The 18,925-nt window shown below is 53.2% G+C and overlaps 1 protein-coding gene across 5 annotated transcripts in view, besides 4 other annotated features; it reads left to right on the top strand.

Moving 5' to 3' along the window:
* Positions 1–3,300: 3,300 nt before the first annotated feature.
* Positions 3,301–18,925, top strand: part of CRMP1 (collapsin response mediator protein 1) — a 72,323-nt gene continuing 56,698 nt past the window's right edge. The window contains exons 1-2 of one of the 5 annotated variants that reach the window (XM_047449629.1): positions 6,166–6,762; positions 7,016–8,159. In XM_047449629.1, the coding sequence (XP_047305585.1) occupies positions 8,121–8,159 (39 nt within the window). In that variant the 5' untranslated portion in view covers positions 6,166–6,762; positions 7,016–8,120. Of the gene's footprint in view, positions 3,799–6,165; positions 6,763–7,015; positions 8,160–8,573; positions 8,999–18,925 lie in introns of those variants that run through there. The other 4 variants (NM_001014809.3, NM_001288661.2, NM_001313.5 and 1 more) reach the window with 4 other exon arrangements.
* Positions 4,696–5,439: an enhancer, noted in NCBI's record as "H3K4me1 hESC enhancer chr4:5892675-5893418 (GRCh37/hg19 assembly coordinates)". NCBI's record gives its function as "activates a minimal SCP1, AML or CMV promoter by ChIP-STARR-seq in naive and primed H9 embryonic stem cells {active_cell/tissue: H9 hESC(naive and primed)}" and the evidence as "EXISTENCE:reporter gene assay evidence [ECO:0000049][PMID:30033119]".
* Positions 5,440–6,184: an enhancer, noted in NCBI's record as "H3K4me1 hESC enhancer chr4:5891930-5892674 (GRCh37/hg19 assembly coordinates)". NCBI's record gives its function as "activates a minimal SCP1, AML or CMV promoter by ChIP-STARR-seq in naive and primed H9 embryonic stem cells {active_cell/tissue: H9 hESC(naive and primed)}" and the evidence as "EXISTENCE:reporter gene assay evidence [ECO:0000049][PMID:30033119]".
* Positions 8,728–9,254: an enhancer, noted in NCBI's record as "H3K4me1 hESC enhancer chr4:5888860-5889386 (GRCh37/hg19 assembly coordinates)". NCBI's record gives its function as "activates a minimal SCP1, AML or CMV promoter by ChIP-STARR-seq in primed H9 embryonic stem cells {active_cell/tissue: H9 hESC(primed)}" and the evidence as "EXISTENCE:reporter gene assay evidence [ECO:0000049][PMID:30033119]".
* Positions 9,255–9,782: an enhancer, noted in NCBI's record as "H3K4me1 hESC enhancer chr4:5888332-5888859 (GRCh37/hg19 assembly coordinates)". NCBI's record gives its function as "activates a minimal SCP1, AML or CMV promoter by ChIP-STARR-seq in primed H9 embryonic stem cells {active_cell/tissue: H9 hESC(primed)}" and the evidence as "EXISTENCE:reporter gene assay evidence [ECO:0000049][PMID:30033119]".

Here is an 18,925-nt window from a genome sequence, read left to right as displayed (position 1 = left end):
GCAAATATTGCTCCTTTCTGTCTCCGTGCAAGCTGGAGGGTGCATTTCCAACTTTATACCCTGGGTTTTGTTTCCTTCCTCCCTTTCTCTGTTGCGCTTGGGTTACTGACCTTGAGATGAGATGGTGTGGAAAAAACTCAGACAAACCTGAGTTGAAATCCCAGGTTAGTCACTTCCCGGTGGTTAACCTGAGCAATGGGCTTAAGGTTTGTCATCCTCAGCGCTCCAGCCTGAAGATGGAAGTGGCCTGGTTCGCCACGTGGGGCTGCCTGAGGGAGCCAGCAGTGTATAAGGCAGAGCATGATGCACGGAAATGAACTGTGTGTGCAAGGACCCTTATACACAGTATGCAGTTTCAGGAGGGTCCGATCGCCTCCTCTGCATGGGGAGAAAAGAGTGAGAGGAAGTGATATAAAGTCAGTGACACGCAGTGGGCGCCACAAAGGTGTGTTAGATGAATGTCGAATGATTAGTTGCCCAAGACTGCATGCAAAACAGGATTCTAACTCAACCACCTAGACTCTTCTGCCTAAACTAGGTCCCTTTATCTCTTATCTCCCAGTGGGACCACCTCAGTCAGGCTCTTGGGGAGAGGAAAGGGTAGTTGTTTCGATGTGGACTCTGGCACCAGACTACTCTGTTTAAACCTCGAAGTCTTACTTGCCAGCTGTGACCCTGGACAGGTTATTTATGTCTCTGAACCTCAGTTTTCTCATCTGTAAAATGAGGCTAAAATGGCAGTTTCAAGGTTGCTGCGAGGCATAAAAGAGTTACTATCTGTTAGGTGCTTACCATGGTCCGGGCACGTAGTAAACTTTCTATAAGCAGAAGCTATGAAGATCCTTTCCTGCTTCTGCATAAAGACAGCACTTTCTCAGCTCCTTCCTTGCGTCACTCCCTCTAGTCTTGGCAACTGCCCAGCCCTTTCTCACAATGGAAAGGGTTTTCTTTAGAAGCAGTAAGATTTCCATCACCACCAACAAAGCCTGAGAGACTGTGTCCTCAAGATGTTGAGAGCAGATTCAAGCATGCAGTAGGAGGCCTGGCCTCCAAAGTTCCACCTAACTCAGACTTTTGAGTTTTCTGATATTTCTCTGGGTTATGTCACCCTGAACATTTGTGGGGTTTTAGAAGAAATTTCTATGTGGTTTTCGACATGAATTGTTCTTGCCTGGAATGGGCTGGGAATAGTATTTCACAGGACAGAGAAAAATTTTCATTGAAAAATCGAAAACACTTGCAAGATAGCCTGGAGGCTGATGGGCCTCAAGAGGAGTGTCTGTGGCAAATCTGCACAGTGGACCCAGGGACACAAGGAGAGAGGAGCCAGGATGCAGCTGCGGTGGGTGGAAGGTAGATGGAGGCTGTGTGTGGAACTTTCTGTTCTCGCATTCAGCACTCTCTCCCCCATGAGAGTAAACACTTGTTGAAGACAGAGACTTAGAAATACTCATCTGTGTCCCCACACTAGCCTCTCTCTCAAGCACAGAAAAATAACTTGCTAAATGCCCACCGAGTGGATGAGCCCACGCTCTAGGCCTGGCTGAACCTCCTTGAGATTGAGGCCCTGAGGGAGCCATTTCACATCTCCCCTCCTGTTTCCTCTTCCAAGAGGGGGCCGGTAAAAATACCTACCTGCTGCACAGACCCCTTGTTGCAGGGTTGAAAGACAGTAGCTTCAGGGAGGTGTCAGCTGAGGCCACGGATCCGACGGCCCCAGGATCCTCAGTCCATGGGGCCCAAGAGTCATAAAACAAGAACATGAATCCATCTGTCTGTCTGGTATTCCTGGAGCTTGGTCACGCTGCGGGAGCTCTGGCTTGCAGCTGGCAGGGCCCGGGGTTGAAGGGACAGCTCCCAGCATGGAAGGCTATGGGTGGGGGGACATTGCAAGAAGCACTGATGCTCCCCTCTGCAGTCCCCACCCAGTCCTGACTTTGCTTGTCTAGACTGGCTCGAGGAGGGGGTCGGCAGCTGGCGATTCTGCCTCTCCAGGAAGTGCAGCTGGGACTGTAGGGTCCCCAGGGACTTGCAGGATCCTCTGCCTGATAATCGTGGAGAAATAAGGGAAGGTGTCTATAGGAGGCAGGTGGTGCCTGGCCTTAGAGGAGAGCCCCAGCAGAGCGACCTCCACGACAGAGAAACCCCAGAACGCCCAGACTGCAAGCTCCAGGAGCAACAAAAGTGGACTGTGCCCCTCGAATGAGGGAATATCTGTCTGTCTGGTTGACTGCCAGCTGTGTGTGTGTGGTCATCTCTGTCTCTGTGTGTCTTTCTCTGGAGCGTTTTTATTTAAGCTTTTGACTTCCTTTATTACTGGTGTGGACTTGTGTGTGGGCATCCTGTTGCCAGTTTATGATGCACATGTGTGGAATCGCCCTGAGCTTGCCTTTGATATTGGTGTGTTGTGTGGTGTCATTGGCGTGCACGTGTATGTGTGTGTCGCTGATTCTCATGCAAGAATGTGCTTCTCTTATGTGTCTGTCGGAGTGTGCCTCTAGCATGTCCCTCTTGGCTGCTGCACCACCTTTCCTGGCCCTTACCACCTCTTGGCCCACCATATGGGTGCTTTTGTATCCAATTCCCCTCCTTAGCAGGTCAGCTCCTGGAGGGCAGGCACTTGGTCTCTTTTGTCCATGGCTCTGTTCCCAGCTCCTACAACAGTGCTAGGCACTAGTGGGCGCTCAGCAAAATAAAACTGACGGAATGAACGGTGTGTCCAACGCATGTGCCTCTCCAGTTGTGCAATTAATCTTGGTGTGATACTGTGTGTGAGTGGGGTTGTGAGACAATGAGGATTTCTGTTGTGTGTTTGTAATGAACTCGGAATGTGCACAAGCATATATGTGTATGTGTGTGCAACATTGAGTATGGTGTGCATGATCGAGCCCCTGTGTATCTCTGGAGAGCATGTGTGATTGACTCTCGTGTGTGTGCCAGCATGTCTGTGCATCTCTCATGTGTTTGGCGTAATTGTCTGGTGTGCAGGTATGAACCCGCGTGTGCCTCCAGAGCGTGTGGGCGCGCGAGTGTACGCACACGGCTCCTGCCCCGCGCTCTCCTCGCGCCCTGCGCTCCGCCTGGGGGCGGAGAGTGGGGGGTGCGGCGAGGGCACTGCGGTGCCGCGGCCCGCCCTCCGCGCTGCGGCTCGGGAGCGTCACCGTCCCTCCCCGCCCCAGCCGCGATCCCCGCCTCCTGGTCCTTTGTAGCTGGCCGCGCCGCTAGCCCGCAGCCGCCCAGAGGCCCCGCCCCGGCCCCGCCCCGGCGCGCGCCACGCCCCGCCCCTCCCCTCCCTGGGCCGCAGTCGCGCCCGGGCCGCCGCAGGCCCGCACCGAGGCGCGGAGCGCGGCGCACGGCGGTGCCCAGGGCCGCGGGCGGGCAGGCGGGAGCGCGGTGGGTGGCCGGCCTTGGACGGGTATGGCGGACCGGCGGCGCGCGTGGAACACCGAGGACGACCTGCCCGTGTACCTGGCGCGGCCGGGCAGCGCGGCGCAGACCCCGCGCCAGAAGTACGGCGGCATGTTCGCCGCGGTGGAGGGCGCCTACGAGAACAAGACCATCGACTTCGACGCCTACAGTGTGGGCCGCCGCGGCTCGGCGCGCACGCCGCGCAGCGCTGGCCGGCCCGACGCGGTCGGGCTGCCAGGGCCGGGAGGCAGCGAGGACACGGCCAGCGACGTGAGCGAGCCCTCGGGCTCCGCGGTCAGCTCTCCCGGAGAGCGCGACGAGCGGCCGCCGACGCTGCGCATCCGCCGCCCCGCGCCCCGCGACCTGCCCCTCGGCCGGGACAATGGCCAGGTACCCTCGGGGCGCGCGCGGGCCAGACGAGGGGGGCGGGCCCCGGGAGGACCCAGGGCATGGGGCGCCCGAGGGCCATGCCCGGGCCCCGGTGTTGGGGCAGCGGCCGCCAGGCTGGGGAGAGCCACGGCGCGGCCCCTCCCCCACCTCATCATGCAAGAGGTTCCCAGAGCTGGGGCGACTCGGTCGGGGCTGGCCGGCGTGGTCCGTGAGACTCGGAAGGGATCGCCCGGGTCCAGTCCCGGCTCCTCTTCTACAGAAAGGGAGAGAGGTTCTGAGAGGGGAAGTTGGCTAAAGCTACCGCATGGACGCTTAAACGCGAAGGAACCTCTGGGATGAATCTAACCCAGGCCCCTCATTCTGTTTTGTGAAAAGAACTGGAGCTCCGTTCCGTGTTGGTCCATTCATCCATCCACTCAGTCGGTAGTAATTATAGAGCACCTACTGTGTGCCGGGCCCCGGGAGAGGTTCCGCGAGTCGCCTGCGGCCACACAGCTTAAAGCTGGAAGGAGCTTTTTTTCCGAGCGCTCCCCTCATGCTTGCTGGGGGGAAGGATTTGGTTAAGGATTTAGTTCGTCGGGCAGTTGGAGCCGTAAACCCCTACCCTCAAGCGCCAGTAGATTCAAGGGGCACTCCTGAGCTCCACAGCACACACCGATGTGCCTGCTTCACAGAGCAAGGTGGAGGTAGAGCTGGGATTTGAACTGGGGTCTCTGGCCTCCCGGACCTGAGCATGGGGCCGGGAGGATCAGGGAGAGGGAACGCTAGGGCTTGGGCCCTGCGGGTATTCTCTCTTGAGCTGGGGGTCACCAGGAAACTGGGGGAAGAAGGGCGGATGGACGGCGTAGCCTTTGGATGGACCGACGAGAGCCAGGGTCAGGTGCCAGAAAAACGGAAGTTGGAGCATCCGAGGGCTGGGGAGCTTTCGAATTGGTCCAGACCTGGATGCCGGAGAACTGCTAGGTGCCAGGCCCAGGGTAGGCGCTAGGTCCCTGGCTCAGCAACCTGGCCCCACCCTCCAGAAGTTCCCAGGCTAGGGTGAGCGACGGATTCATTGTGAGAATTAAATCAGTTAATGCCGGTCGGTAGTGAGCATTCAATAAATGTTTGTTGTTGACTTTTATTACAATCATTATCATTTTAATTAAACCTTCCCCTCTTAAATGCTATGAGTGACCCAAAGTGAGCCTGGAGGGAAGCAGAGCTTGATCGGGGCAGATATCTGGGAGGGCTTCCTGGAGGAATAGGAGCAGGGAACTGGTAAACACGGTGGTGGGCCTCTTCGGGCCCCATCCCTTCGCGGGCGGGCTGTTGCTCCAGAGCTCTCCGTGGTCCTGAAGCCGGAGCCTCGCGAGGGAGAGGTCCAACAGCAAGGGTGTGTGTGTGTGTGTGTGTGTGTGTGTGTGTGTGTGTATGTGTGTGTGGTGGTGGGGTGATCAGAAAGGGAGATGGTGCGAGAGTCCAGCTTCCTCTTCCCCCACCCCTTCTGTATCTCCCCCTGTCCACTACCTTCCCTGGTGGTCCGACCTCTCTTGGGATCCAAACTCCCGAGCCCGATGGGGAGGCTTCTGGGCCGCGGGCCGAGAAGCGGGACCAGCACCAGGGAATCCGGGTTTCCAGCCAAGGCGCTTTGCTCTCTTGGGCCTCAGCTTCTCCATCTGTCAGATGGGGGTGGCCGTCTTCTTCCGGCCTTCCTCAAAGCGTGGTGGAGTACTAGGGAGGCGAGGGCGCTTTGTGCACGGCCCGTAGCTGTCCCAAGGAGAGTTCCTCTGGAACTGCGGTCAATGTCACCAACGCCAGCATCTCCCCCAGGGCGCAGCCTGGGCCAGCCCCGCAGCTGCGCCCTGACCCTTGGGGACGCTGGTCGCTTCACCTCTCCCGTTCCTCTCCCCTACTCCTTCCTCTTCTCCCTGTGGTCCCCTCTGCCTTTCTCCATGGCTTCTCAGGCACCGGACAAAAGGCAGCGCCTCTGGCGCTCCCGGGGCTCCGAAAGCACTCGAGCTTCGCGACTGTGGAACTCAGGGGCTCGCGATCTCCACGGAGGGAGGGTTTTACTTTCTGCCGGCAGAGCGGCCTTGAGGCTTGGGTTACAGTGGGCTCGGGTTCCGGGGCGGGCCTCACCGCTCCAGGGCTTCGCAACGGGTGCCCCGGCCCTTCCCCCCCCGCCCACCAGGCTTCTCCCTGGGCTGCAGGAGGGGTTTCTGCGGCGCAGGCGCAAGGATTGCCGCTGCCGGAGGCTGAGCGGCTGCGGCGCTTTGTACCGGCGAAATCTGCTTGGGAGCAGCGATCTGTTTGGCCAGTGGCAGGCGGATGCTCCTCCCCCTGATACGCACGTGGTCTTGTCCCTTGCTGTAGGGGCTTTCTGCTCAGATCTCCAGACTGACCCCAGGGAACGCCCTGGTACGGGGAACCTAGGACTTAACAACTCCAAGGAAGGGAGTGTAGGAGTTGGGGAGGGACAGTGTCCCCATCTGCAATTTCCGGTCATTGACAGGGATTTTAGGCCCCGCTGAGAGCCAGGGATGCATGAATGCGTGGAGGGAAATGAGTTGTAAACAGAGTGTAGGGGAACCTGGCATCTCCATGCTGCTTTGCTGCAGCTAATATGTTTTGCACCCGGGGTACATCATTTTACCTCTGTAAGCCTCAATTTCCTGTCTGTAAAATGGGAAAATTATGCCTAGTGTTCCTGGGATACTGAGCTGGCTTCTCTGTGAAGCTAAAACCTCACCTCTATTTTAAGGCCCAGGTGTCTCTGGCCTCCTGCCCTGGATTAGGGGACTGGCCCCTGGGGTGGTGAAGGTCAGGGCCCCAGCCCCCAACCACAGTGCTGGGGGAGCTGTACCAAGCCTAGGCCACCCTCGCTCTGGATGGCAACTTGAAAGCAGAAAAGATGAGTAGTTTCATAGGACCTGTGGGGTTGGATTTCGCATGCAGAAAATGAACAACGAAGTGGTGGACAAGGTTGGTGTTTTATTCTGCCTGGGAACTTGGGGCACCTGTCCAGTGAGGTTGGGGCTTGCTGGGGCTCCCCCTTTTCCTCCATCTTCTTTCATCTTTTCCCCTCTGCTGTTACGGACCTTGTCAAGCTGTGACCTGGCTTCCTGCCCACCTCCCTCTGGAGCAACATCTGGATCATGGACTCCGGGGCTGGTGTCCACAGTGCTGGGAGGCAGGAGCACCCTAGTCCTCCTCCTGACCCCCAGCTTGTCCCCAGGGCTGTGGAGACCTTGGTGCCAGTGGCCCAGCCCTCCAAACACCTGCTGTCTTGGAGGCAATTCTGTGGGGTGACCTGGTGGCCCCAGTGTCAGGCTGCTGTGTGATGAGGGAGCTGCTGTTGGAGTAGAACAGGTCAGCATTAATTAAGGCCGTACCCTTCTGTCCCTGCTGTTCCCTCTGCCAGTTAGGGGGCTCCACCTTAGAGGCCCCCAGGGAGGGCTGGTTCAATGCTAGGATGGAGAGGGTGGCAGGGAGAGGCTTCGTGGTGGGGAAGGCATTGGAGATGGGTCTAGGGGAGTGGACAGGCTTTTGTCTGGGGTAGACTATTCAGGGAGAGGGTACAGCGTGAATAAAGGCTTGGGGTCCGAGATGGAAAAAGTGCTTGGTGCATTCAGGGAGAGGCACTCGGGAAGGATAAACGGAGGCTATGGAAGGAGAGGCAAGAGGGGAGCGGTCCTTGGGCGCGATCCTGGAGGGACAAGAACGTTCCCAGCAGCTTGGGCCGATCCTTGGCCCCCGTCCCACACTCCCTCCCCCCACACCCCCGCAGATGTTCCGGGGAGGCCTCCAGACGCGCGGCCACACACCTGTGGCGCCGCCCGCGGGCCCTGACCGCGCCGTCTTTTTCTTTTAAAGGAGCCCTGAAAACCATACTCTCTGGATCGCGAGAGCGAGGCCAGGGCCCGCCAAGGGCGTGTGCGCAGGGCGGGGGTCGGCGGGGCTGGGCGGGTGGGGGGCGGGGGGCGGGGTGGGAGATCGGAAGGGAAGCGCTTCCTGGTTCGAGCCGAGAGGGGCGAATCCGGCTTCGCTCCGCGCCGCCGGGAGGAGCTGTCTGCAGCCCCCTCCTCCCGCCCTCGCCTCTCCCTCCTCCTTCTCCCGCCCTCCTCGCCGATCCGGGCGGTGCTGGCAGCCGGAGCGGCGGCGGGCGGGCCGAGCAGCCGGGGCAGCCGCGCGTGGGCATCCACGGGCGCCGAGCCTCCGTCCGTGTCTCTATCCCTCCCGGGCCTTTGTCAGCGCGCCCGCTGGGAGCGGGGCCGAGAGCGCCGGTTCCAGTCAGACAGCCCCGCAGGTCAGCGGCCGGGCCGAGGGCGCCAGAGGGGGCCATGTCGTACCAGGGCAAGAAGAGCATCCCGCACATCACGGTAAGCGGCCCCCGCCCCCGCCGCCCCGCGCTGGCCTTTGTGGGCTGGGAGTGGGCGCCCGGCAGGGTCCAGATCCACGGGGCGCCGGCAGGGGCGCCCCCCGAGGCCTCCTGCGTCGCCGCGGGTGGGGCGGGGCCGGTCTCGGGATTTCAGCCCCCTCCCCCAGCCTCTGGGGACAATGGGGGTGGGGGAGCCCCGCATGGCGGGGCGGGGCTGGAGCCGGGAGTCCCTCTCCCCGCGGGCTTGCCGCCCCCTCCCCCCACGGGATGTGCCAGAGGATGGCGTGGACAGGGAGGATGCGGAGCCGAACAAAAGAGGGAGGGGCAGGGGTCCGAACCCCCTCCCCGCAGGCCTCGCGCGGGGGTGGGAGGGTGAGCTGAGCCTCCTTGGCTCGGCCCCCGCACCGTCCGGCCCATGCACCCCACAGCCCGGTACCTCCCCCGCTGGAGGAGGGAAAAAGATCATCCAGCGCTCCCCACTCCCCGCCTTTACTGATGGAGTGGAAGTCCGGACCTAGGGACAGCGCCATGATGGAAGCTCGGTCCACCCCTCCCCGCAGCTAAAAATAACCTAATGGGGCGACGCTGGCGGCTGCGGCCCGGGAAGGGTTAATGTTCCCGACGCTGGGCCGCGAGAGGGTGGGGACGGTGGTGGAGGCAGAACAGCCGGGCTGCGTCCCTGGGTGTGGCCGGAAACAAAGGAATCCCCGTCTTTACGCTTTGTCTCGGGGTGGGGAGCTGAGGGCGCAGCGGTCAGGAGCTGGCCCTCCGCCCCAGTTCCTGCCTGGCATCAGCGTGGAGCCTGACTGTTCCTGAGGGATGCGGACCACTGGAGCCCATGTATGCAGGAGCAGCCCGGGGCCGGGAGGCGGGATTCTGGGCGTGGTGGAATCCTCCAGGGTGACTCCAGAGGTTTGACTACTGGAGACCCAGCCTGCTCATTTATGCAAAATTCAGGCTCCTGGACAGTCGCAGGGCACCTGCCAGAGGGCAGCCTTAGGTAGGCGGAGGTATTGACACTTGCACTCACCTGCCAGTGGCCTGTCCCGTGTATTGCAGGCCTGTTTCTTTAAATGGTGGCAGCAAGGCTTTGCGGGTGGCATTACCCACGTAAAGCTCCCTGAGGCTAGAGCATGGGCTGAGGGCTTCCACCACAGGAAGGTCAGGAGGGAACCCAGGCCCCCTGCCTCCCCTGCACTGTCCTGCATCCGCCCCAGCTCTGGGCTGAGTCTTGAGTTAGAAAATTCCTCCTGGGCCCAGCCTCAGCTCTTGTCAGCAGGCCTCTGCCAAGCCCCCATCCAGAGGGTGGGCACCACCTCTTCTCCGTCTCTCAGCTCTGCCCTCTGAGACGCAGAGGTGTAAGCGGCCCATTCGTAAACACTAGTTGGTCAAGAATCACTAGAACACATATGGTTGCTTCCTCCTGGGCAATGTGAGAAGAAGGCAGGTGATATTTGAACAAGTCCCTGCCTTGGGACCCTCTAACCCTGCCTCCCAAGGGAACTGAGGCAGGTGATGGGGTCGGGGTGATGCAGTGACTCAGGAGTCAGGAGTTCTGGGTTTGAGGCTGTGTGCCCACAGAAGGTCTCTGCTGCTCTCAGGTCCCCAGTCTCCAAGGTGGAAACTTAATAGGATGGCCTGCAAGGCAGGTCTGTGGGATGCTGCCTCTGAAAGTGTGCAGTCCCAGTCTGCTAAGCTGAAGTGGTCACCAGGCCTACTGCCTGTTGCCCTCTGGAGTGGAGATGCCTAGGCTTTTCCAGCCGATGGAGCTGGGTGTCTGATGCCTCTCTGAACCTCAGTGCTCTGCTGTACGATGTAGGCCCCTTCACAGGACTCCTGAACATCCTAGGTGACCCTCCAAAGCATTTAGTGTGCTAGGTGCATGGTAAGGGCTTCAGATCTGCCGACAGGTCTTGCTGCTTTAGTTCTTCCTGTGAAACAATTAGTCAACTTGTGTGTAAAGAGAAATCAAATGGGTGGTTCCAGCAGCCTCTAAAGGTGGTTTCAATGAGCATGGGAAGGAGAGAGGCTGTAAGTTATGCTTAGTTCCTGGGAAAGAGGGCCTTGATGAGGATCATTTGTGTTCATTTGGCCCACATCAGCCAGAAGCGTTTGTGGTTTTAAACAAATCAAAACCTTCAGCAAATCAGAGAGGATCCACTTGAATGGGGCTTCACTGTATAGGACCTTTCATCTTCCTGAGTACCTTTTGCTAATAACACACATACACGTGTTGTGACAGGAACCAGATCCCTGCCTTAAATGCCATGTAACAAATGGGTGAGCACTGTGGCTTTTCAAATGGCTGCACCTTAACGTGTTCCATAGTAGTCATTTGACAAGTTAAGGCAAACCCATTGGCTGTTAGTGGGTTTGCATTAACTTGTCAAATGACTGCCATACCAAGCACAGTGCTGGGTGCCAGGAAGAGTGGGAAGGAGATGAATGGGTTTGCCCTGGCCCTTCTAGAGCTTAGCCAAGGCTGACATTTCAGCCTGAAGTGTTAGTGAAGTGTTAAGGGTATCATACGGCGGGGCGGAAGAAACCCCAGCAGGGACACTCAGCCTTGTCCTAGGGGAGACAGAGGGGACAGGAGGAGAGCAGGGTTCTTTGTGGAGCCCATGGGGCCCCAGAGGTAAAGGAGTTGGCATGCTGGAGAAACTGAAGGAAAGACGGCCTCGGGAGAGCCCACCCTCTGCTTCCCAGGGCAACCGCTGCACAGTTAGATCAAATCATGAAGGCAGTTGAGATGTTTCTGACAGCCATGGTGTGTGGCCTGTGGAGAGACCTGGGGGCTTGGAAAGGATCAAGTGTGGTTCATGGGAAGAAGTGCTGGTGTAGCAGGCATAGCTCTCAGCTTCATCCCCAGGTCCCCACCTGCTTGTTGCTGGGTCATCCTGTGCCCCTCTGAGCCTCAGCTGTCTCATCTGCACAGTGGGGATAAGGGTGTAGCTTTGCCAATGAGTTCAGAGCCTGGAGAGGTGGGAGCTAGAGTGGGGGAGGTGAAGGGGCATCACAGGCAGGGGCGCAGCATGGGCAAAGGCAAGGAGGCTGATCGTTCTGCTCATGTTGACGATGATGGTGGTGTCTTCCTCTTTTTTCCATCTTGGCCTTTTTCTGAGACAATATAGTAGCCGGTTAGAGACGGAAGAGCAAAAAAGCAGAAACACTTAGCTCCTGCCCCCAAGGACTGTGTGAAATATTTATAAAGCTCTCTTTCATGCGTGTCTTTTTTTTTTTTTTTAATGAATGGCACACTTGGGGATTAACTTAGCTGAAGCGGCTTCTTGTGCCCACTGCAGTGAGTAGAGCATCCTGGGTGTGGCTCTGAGCAAACAAAGGCACATGGCTTCCTAGCCCTGCAGAAGCTGTTGGCTCTGAATAGAGCTACCGAAGTGGGGAGGCCTGCTCAGTTGTGAGAGGAGTAAAGAGTGTCCACCATGATGATGACGGGGTATTATTAAAAATGAAGCTTCATGAGTACCGATCACATGTGTTTTTGCTCTAGTCCAAGCATTCGGCACAATTGCCATTATCTCTCACCTAGTTCTATGCACAGAACTGTGAGAAAGGCAGCCTAGGTAGATCACCCCTCTTTCCCAAAGAGTAAACTGAGGCTCAGAGAGATTCAGAGGCTTGTAAAGGTTCTTCATTGGCCAGTGGAGGAAGGAGAGCTTGCATTCAAGCAGGGAGGATAGGTGGGCTGGTCTGCGTGCTAGGAAAACCACTGCCCGTGTGTGTGTGTGCATGCATAGTTGTGTGTGTGAGTGCCAGTGTGTATGTAAATGTAAGTGTATGTCTGTGGTGTGTAAATGTGTTTGTGTGTGGGTGTGGGGGTGTGTGTGTGTGTTTGATTAAACAGTGAAGATGATCAGGAAAGAAGGATCAAGTAAAAATCACATCAGGCTCGATTTGTTGCTCTAATTTGCAAGTATGCAAAAAATGTGTGAGGCCTATTATGCTTTTTCCCAAGGGTGACATTCAGCCTATCTATGGATATCCAGTTGATTCCCTGCCTTTTTACACAAAGGATTTGAGATGTCCACAGTGATTTGTCATGCATATGGTGAAATCAGATGGAAGTCGAATAGCAGGACTGAGGATCAAGGAAGGACAGAACAAATGTGCCAGTGATTAGGACACTGGAGTGGCCATGATTAGTCATCCACTACTGACTCTGAGCATCTGTCATCTAGGGCAGAGAAGCAAACACCCTCCATGATGTCAAGGTCATGATCAGAGAGGAAGAAGTGGACCATTTTTAGGGAAAACATTATTTTGTTTAAATCAAATTCTTAAAAATGTCTCAGAGGGGACATAAAAGTGAAAGTGACGTAACTATACCACCTTAACCGTGAATGCCCATTTCTTCTAATAAACATGGCCAAGACTGAATACATGGAGCACACACAATACAACATACATGAGTGTGCATGGCACATAGTAAATATCTAACAGGTCATAGCTCTGTTCTGAAAACTCAGGCTGTGTCTTTGAGGAAATGAAAATTCAGAATGGTAGCTAACCAGCAGGTGTGGTGGGCAAGCATGTGTGTGTGTGTGTGTGTGTGTGTCCCTGACCTTAATTATCTTGCCATCTAAGTGACAAAGTGCATGCACATAAAACAACTTAAGAAAGACTAAAGGGTGCCTGTAATCCCAGCACTTTGGGAGGCCAAGGTGGGCAGATCACTTAAGGTCAAGAGTTTGAGACCAGCCTGGCCAACATGGTGAAACCCTGTCTCTACTAAAAATACAAAAATTAGCCAGGCATGGTGGCGGGCACCTGTAATCCCAGCTATTCGGGAGGCTGAGGCAGGAGAAATTGCTTGAACCTGGGAGGCAGAGGTTGCAGTGAGCTGAGATCATGCCACTGCACTTCAGCCTGGGCGACAGAATGAGACTCTCTCAAACAAAAAAGAAGAAAGAAAGAGAAAGATAGAAAGACAGGAAGGGAGGGAGGGAGGGAGGAAGGAAGGAAGGAAGGAAGGAAGGAAAGCAGGCAGGCTGCGGAACAGGGCACAGGTGTCAGAGGAATTCAGAGAAGAGATGACTCAGCCCTGGCAGAAGCAACAAGAGATGGCTTCTTGGGGTTTGGAGGATGACATCAGCCAGGTGTTGAGGGACTTGATTGGTTGAGGGAAGGGAAGGGCATGCAAGGTGGGTGGAATATTTCACACAGGTGAATCAGAGGACGCAGAAGTGGAAATACATGTGAATGGGTGGGGCTATGGGGGGATTCTATAAAGCTTTGGAAATCAGGGAGAATGCACCCAAGGGGATGGAAATAACACGTGGGTTCTAAGTGTGTCTTAGATATGAATGGGTTATTTGATGTTGAGCAAGTCACTTTCTCTCCCTGGGCCTCGGATTCCTTTTCTGGACAGGGAGAGTTGGATTAGATAATTCAGTTCCAAGTTCTAGGCCACTCTGATCTTCTTCTTTGGTTAATAGGAAGGCACTGGAAGTTCTTGAGGTAAGATGCTGTTATTATGAAAGCAGCTTGTAGGAATGTGGATTCTGAACTCAGACTATCTGGCTTTGAATCCTGGCTGTTTTACTTACTAGCTATGTAATTGGACAAGTCACTTATTCTTTCTATGCATCAATTTTATCTGTACAGATTTATGTTTGGAAATCAGAATGATATTTCCTAAGATTTTTTCCCCATAGAATTAAATGACTTAATATGTGTAAGATGCTTAAAATAGTGCCTGCACATATTAAATGCAATGTGGATTAGCTCTTATTATTATTACCGTGGGATGGTGTATTAGCTTTGCTCCATAGCATACAACCCCAAGGTGTCAACAATATACACTTATTTTTTGCTCATGCTACATGAGGGCTGTGGGTTGGCTGTAACTTTGCCCCTGTTTACTGGTGGGTAGTGAGTCTGCTCTGTGCATCTCCTCACTTTGAGACCCAGGCTGAAGGAGAAGAAAAGCACAAGAGATTGGCAGCAACCTGAAATATCTTTAAGAACTTCTACTCAAATGTAGCATATTTCACATCTGCTGATAGTGTACTGGCCAAAGCAAGTTGTATGATCAAGCTCTAAATCGGTGGGAGAGAAGCACAAAGTCAGTCTTTCTAGAGGAGATGTGAGGATTGAATGTGAAAGTTCTGACATGTAAAAGATGCTAATACACACCCGTGGAAGCTGATAATGAGGTGGTCAGGAAGCACAGCGATTGGGTTTGGAAGAAAAATCCCACCATTGGTTCTTAGGTTGTATTGGATTTGGTAGCAAGCTCGAAATTGAGGTGTCTCAATGGACAATAAGGAATAGATTGGAATGAGGGTGAGAGGCAAAGGACAGAGATAGATATTAGGGGCCCATGTACAAAAGGTATTGGTAGAAGACAGAAAAATGCAAGCTATTTCAACAACCAGTGGTTCTCAGCCTGTGTGCTGTGAGCACAGTGGTGTACTCAAAAAAATTCTCTGCCGATGTGTGGCTAAATTTTGATCAGCGTTTAAAATTTATGTTTGCTACAACCAAGTCTACAAATTATTGTAGCATCTCTCAGGTGGAGCCCTGAGTATTCACAAGCAGAGAGATGTTGAATAGAGTCTAATTTGCTGTAAGTAAAAGTCAGCTCTTGCCATGGAAGAGGAACACCGGAGGACTTTGCCGTGAGAGCATATAAAAGAACATGGTCGGGGCAGTGGACAGCACCACGGTGCTGAATGGTAACCAAGTGCAATCAGAGCTATGATAGACCTGTAAGACAGCTACAGTCACACTGCAGTGGGAGGGCATGGTGATGGTTGCAGACTTACCTGGTGTAATTTTAGGTCTTTAATCCTTCAAGAATGCTGCAAAATTTTATATGATTTGAAAGTATGTCCTGAGTACAGTAAGGTTGAGAACCATTGCCCTAGAGAGCTGTAATGACCAAATCATAGCTTTGCTCTGAGAAGAAACAACTCTGAATTGGTGTTGGTAGTTTGGGAAGTGGAGTGGGATCTTGGATGCTTCATAGAGAAGTTGTCTAGAAAACAAGAGCAAGCAGCTAAAAGGAAGAAAGCAATGTTTGTGGATATATGAGGTTGTAGTTCCCCACTCCTTCCTTGGGCCTGTGTCCCAGGCATCCAGAGCATTCGCCTTGACCTGGCACACCATGTGTGGCCCTCTGCCTTTGTATCAGCTGTGTCCATTCTCTATAAAGGATTCCTCCTCCTGGGCTGGGGGTGGTGAGCACTTCAATTTCAGTAACTTTGGCTTGTTGCTCATGTCCATCTGCTCCGCTTGACCATGGATACTTGGAAGACTGGGAAATTGTCTGATTCTCCTCAGGAGCCCTTCAGGAACACTGGGGATTCACAGTGGGGATGCCACACTGTGTGAGTGAGTGAATGGGAGCAAGATTGTGGACTTCCTTGCTGAGTGAGGTTTCAGCCACAGCTGCATTTAGTCTTCCTTAACAAGGCACTGTCTGTGGATTTAACATGAAGGTAGTTACTATGCAGAATGAGATGAAGGTGGCATGAGGAGTTTTGGAGCTCAAAGCGAAAAGAAGGTGTGGGGGCCCCTGAAGTGGTGCTTTGACAATGGGGAGAGGGCAGATCTGGTTTAGTAATGGGCTTCGCTGCATTTCACATGGAATGGGAAGCTTTTGCAAAAGGTACTTTTTACACACAAGTGGGATCGTCACATTGCACATCTTGTGCTCTGCCCAGGGCCTTGAGTAAATAATGACCTGGTGTTGGAACTTGGAGTCAATTCCATGGGAAGACTCATTGGATCTGATGCAGAATTACATACAGCAAAAAGGTGGCTATTTGAGGAAATTTTGAACCTGCCCCCAAATTATGTTGCCATGTATTTTTAAATCATACCATATCCATAGACCCTTAGGGCTTAAGGTCTAATAAAATCTCAGCAAATGTTTGATTTCTATAACCTCAACGTTGAATCGAACTTTTAAATTATGTAAAATTTTATGTTGTACAATTAAGGAGGAAGGAAAAAGTGTCTGTCTACTGCTTCTCCCCTGCCCCCACCATTCTCCCCTCAGTGCAGAAATTCCCAGTATGTTCTCTGCATACCTCCAATGACAGGGAGATCACCACTTTACATGGCAACCTGCTTTACTCTTGTACAGCTCTGTTGTTGGAAGGCTCTTCTTTATGTAGAGTGGGATTCTGCCTTGTGCCTTACTTTTGTTCTCAAGAGTCTCCCCAAGTTTCTTCTTCCACACTGCTATTCCTAGAGGCACTGGAAGATGTTTCTCCATTACTTAGGACCTTCTCTTTTCCAAAACCACTCCAATTCTTTATTCCTCCTCTATCATGATTTCCGCATACGGTGTTAGGTTTTCCTTTACTTTCTTTCATTTTCCTTTCCTTTCGTCTCATTTTTTTTTTTGCTATATTTTATTTCTGAACATGCAGAATAAAAAGGAATCCAAATAAAACTTTAATTACTGGGAACCTCTTAAACGAGTTTAAAGGCTTCCTAAGGCCATCAACTCCTCTGAGAAGCTGATAAAAGCAATTGAAGCTTTTTCCTGCATCCTCAAATGCATGAACATTTGGCATAGAATGTTAGAGCATTTGGCATAGAATGTTAAACTTCATAGGACAGTGTTCAGTGTATTGGGTGCTTTTACATATTATTTCAAGTAATCTTGTGAGGTAGGTATTTTGATGGGTTCCATTTATAGATGAGGAAACTGAAGCCAACAGAGATTAAGTATCTTGCCAAAGATCACCCCGCTAAGAAGCTATGTGGGAATAAGCTGCCATCTCTGGTGCCAAGGATTTCAGTCTCATGGGGGAAATAAGATATATTACAATGAGCTGGAAAATGAGTGTCATGAACAAATGCTGGACCAGAGATGCAAGCCTCATGTTGTGGGAACTCCAAGGAGTGACCTTGTGATCCTGGACTCAAGACACTGCACGTGACTAAGGAGTTGGAAAGCAATGAGCAGAGCAGATGTGGCCAGAGATGCATGCTGCAGGGAGGCCATAGAGGAAGGCACAGGTTGTGAAGGTGCAGTTAGGGAGGCAGAGCGTGGTGTGCGTAGATAGATGTGGTGGGGCGCGGCCGAGAGAGGGCCGGGCTCAGGCCGGGAAGAGCCTAGGAGGTGAGCTTTGTCCTACAGATGAGGACAAGCTGGTGAAGGATTTTGAGGAGAAGCGAGGCATGGTTGGATTTGCATTTCAGAAAGGTCACTCTGCCTGTCATATGGAGTGGACAAGTTCTGTGGCAGGGAGATGGGGTGAGGGCTTATCTGGGGCAGGTGCATTGGGAGGTGAAAGTCAGCAGGTAGGTATTAGAACAGTTCCAGAGTAGATGCAACAAGATCTAAAAAAGAGTTAGGTTTGAGGTGGGACAGATGAGAGATAAGCTGAAAATGGAACTGAGCATTTTAATGAGATGTTACCCCACGTTGCAAGGATTAAAAAAAAAAATAAGGCACTGTGCGAAGTGCTATCCGTGGGTTAATTCATTTCACATTCAAAATTTTCCTCTGCATTTGATGAGAAACAGAAGCACAGAGAGGTGAACTCACCCATGTGACAGAGTTTGGAGGTGTGGGGCCACGTTAGAGCCTAGGTAGTCTGCCCTCTGCACCCATATCGTTAGGTGCAGTCTGGCCTCTGCATTCATATCCAAACATCGCCTCTTTGTTAAATGAGCATGTAATGAGAGAGTAAATATAAGCACCTGGCTCCCAGGAGGCATTGGCAATGTTTATTAGATGACAGGTCTCTGCATGTAATGTATTTCCCCTAGAAAGCCTTTTGCAGTTTTCCGAGGCCTTTAATCTGCCTTAACCACTTTTGACCACATTCACGATAATCGTGTCAAGAGGGCAGGTGAGGTGCAAGGCCTGGGGTATGTACTTGATAAACACTGAGCAGATAAGTGTAGTCTATCACTGCCTGTCCCTATTTTACAGAGTGGGGAACTGAGGCTCAGATGTATCAACTAGGTACACTGAAGAGAACACTGTACTAGTCTCACCACCGAGAGGCAGTGGGGTGGTCTCTGTATAGGTGCCAGGTGGAATTCGGTTCAAATCCTAGCTGCTGTACCATCTCTTGGCTGTGTGACCTTGAGCAAATTACTTCTGAGTTTCCTCACTTGTCATACTTATTCCCACTTTTAAGGTGATTTAAGAATTAAAAATGAAAACCCATGTAATGCAGAACTGATCCTTAATATGAGCTCAAGGAATGTGCACTTCTTAAGGCAAAGGAGTTCTGTTCGGATTTCTTTCTATAAAGCAAGAAGCACAGACCAGAACACAGAGAAATGGGTCAAGTTACCGATCACACATGCAGCTAGCATCGTCTTTCCCTATGCAGCGTGCAGGCCCTGCCCACTCTTAGGGTTGTGACAGAGGTGTGCTGTTTTAAAATCAGATATTCAGTCCATCAGGGAGTGCTCCCTGAAAGTCTGCTGGTACAGTGGGACCTGAAATTGTGCACTTATAACTGCAGTTGTCATGGAAACAGGCATAATATCGGGGGGAAAAAAAGTCCTGCAGTCCATGGGGACTACCTGTATCTCCCATTCATGAAAGGGGGAAAGCCGCCCTGTCCCCTACCCGTGAGAGGGGGAACGAATGTGTGTTAATTAGATTCAGGCTCATACCGGTTGCCACTTCGTGGGTTGCATTCCTGGATAGTGTGGCAAAGGGCCACTGGCTGACAGGCTGTCGTCCCCGGAGGCAAAATCAAAGGCAAATGGATGGTTTCTGTGAATAAATATGAGTGTGCAGCTGGATGGGATGGCAGCACTTGCCGT

The sequence above is a fragment of the Homo sapiens genome, chromosome 4 (genome assembly GCF_000001405.40).
Source record: "Homo sapiens chromosome 4, GRCh38.p14 Primary Assembly".
Classification (NCBI taxonomy): Eukaryota; Metazoa; Chordata; class Mammalia; order Primates; family Hominidae; genus Homo; species Homo sapiens.
The sequence above is the reverse complement of the archived record's forward strand: the minus strand, read 5'-3'. Positions and strand labels throughout refer to the sequence as shown.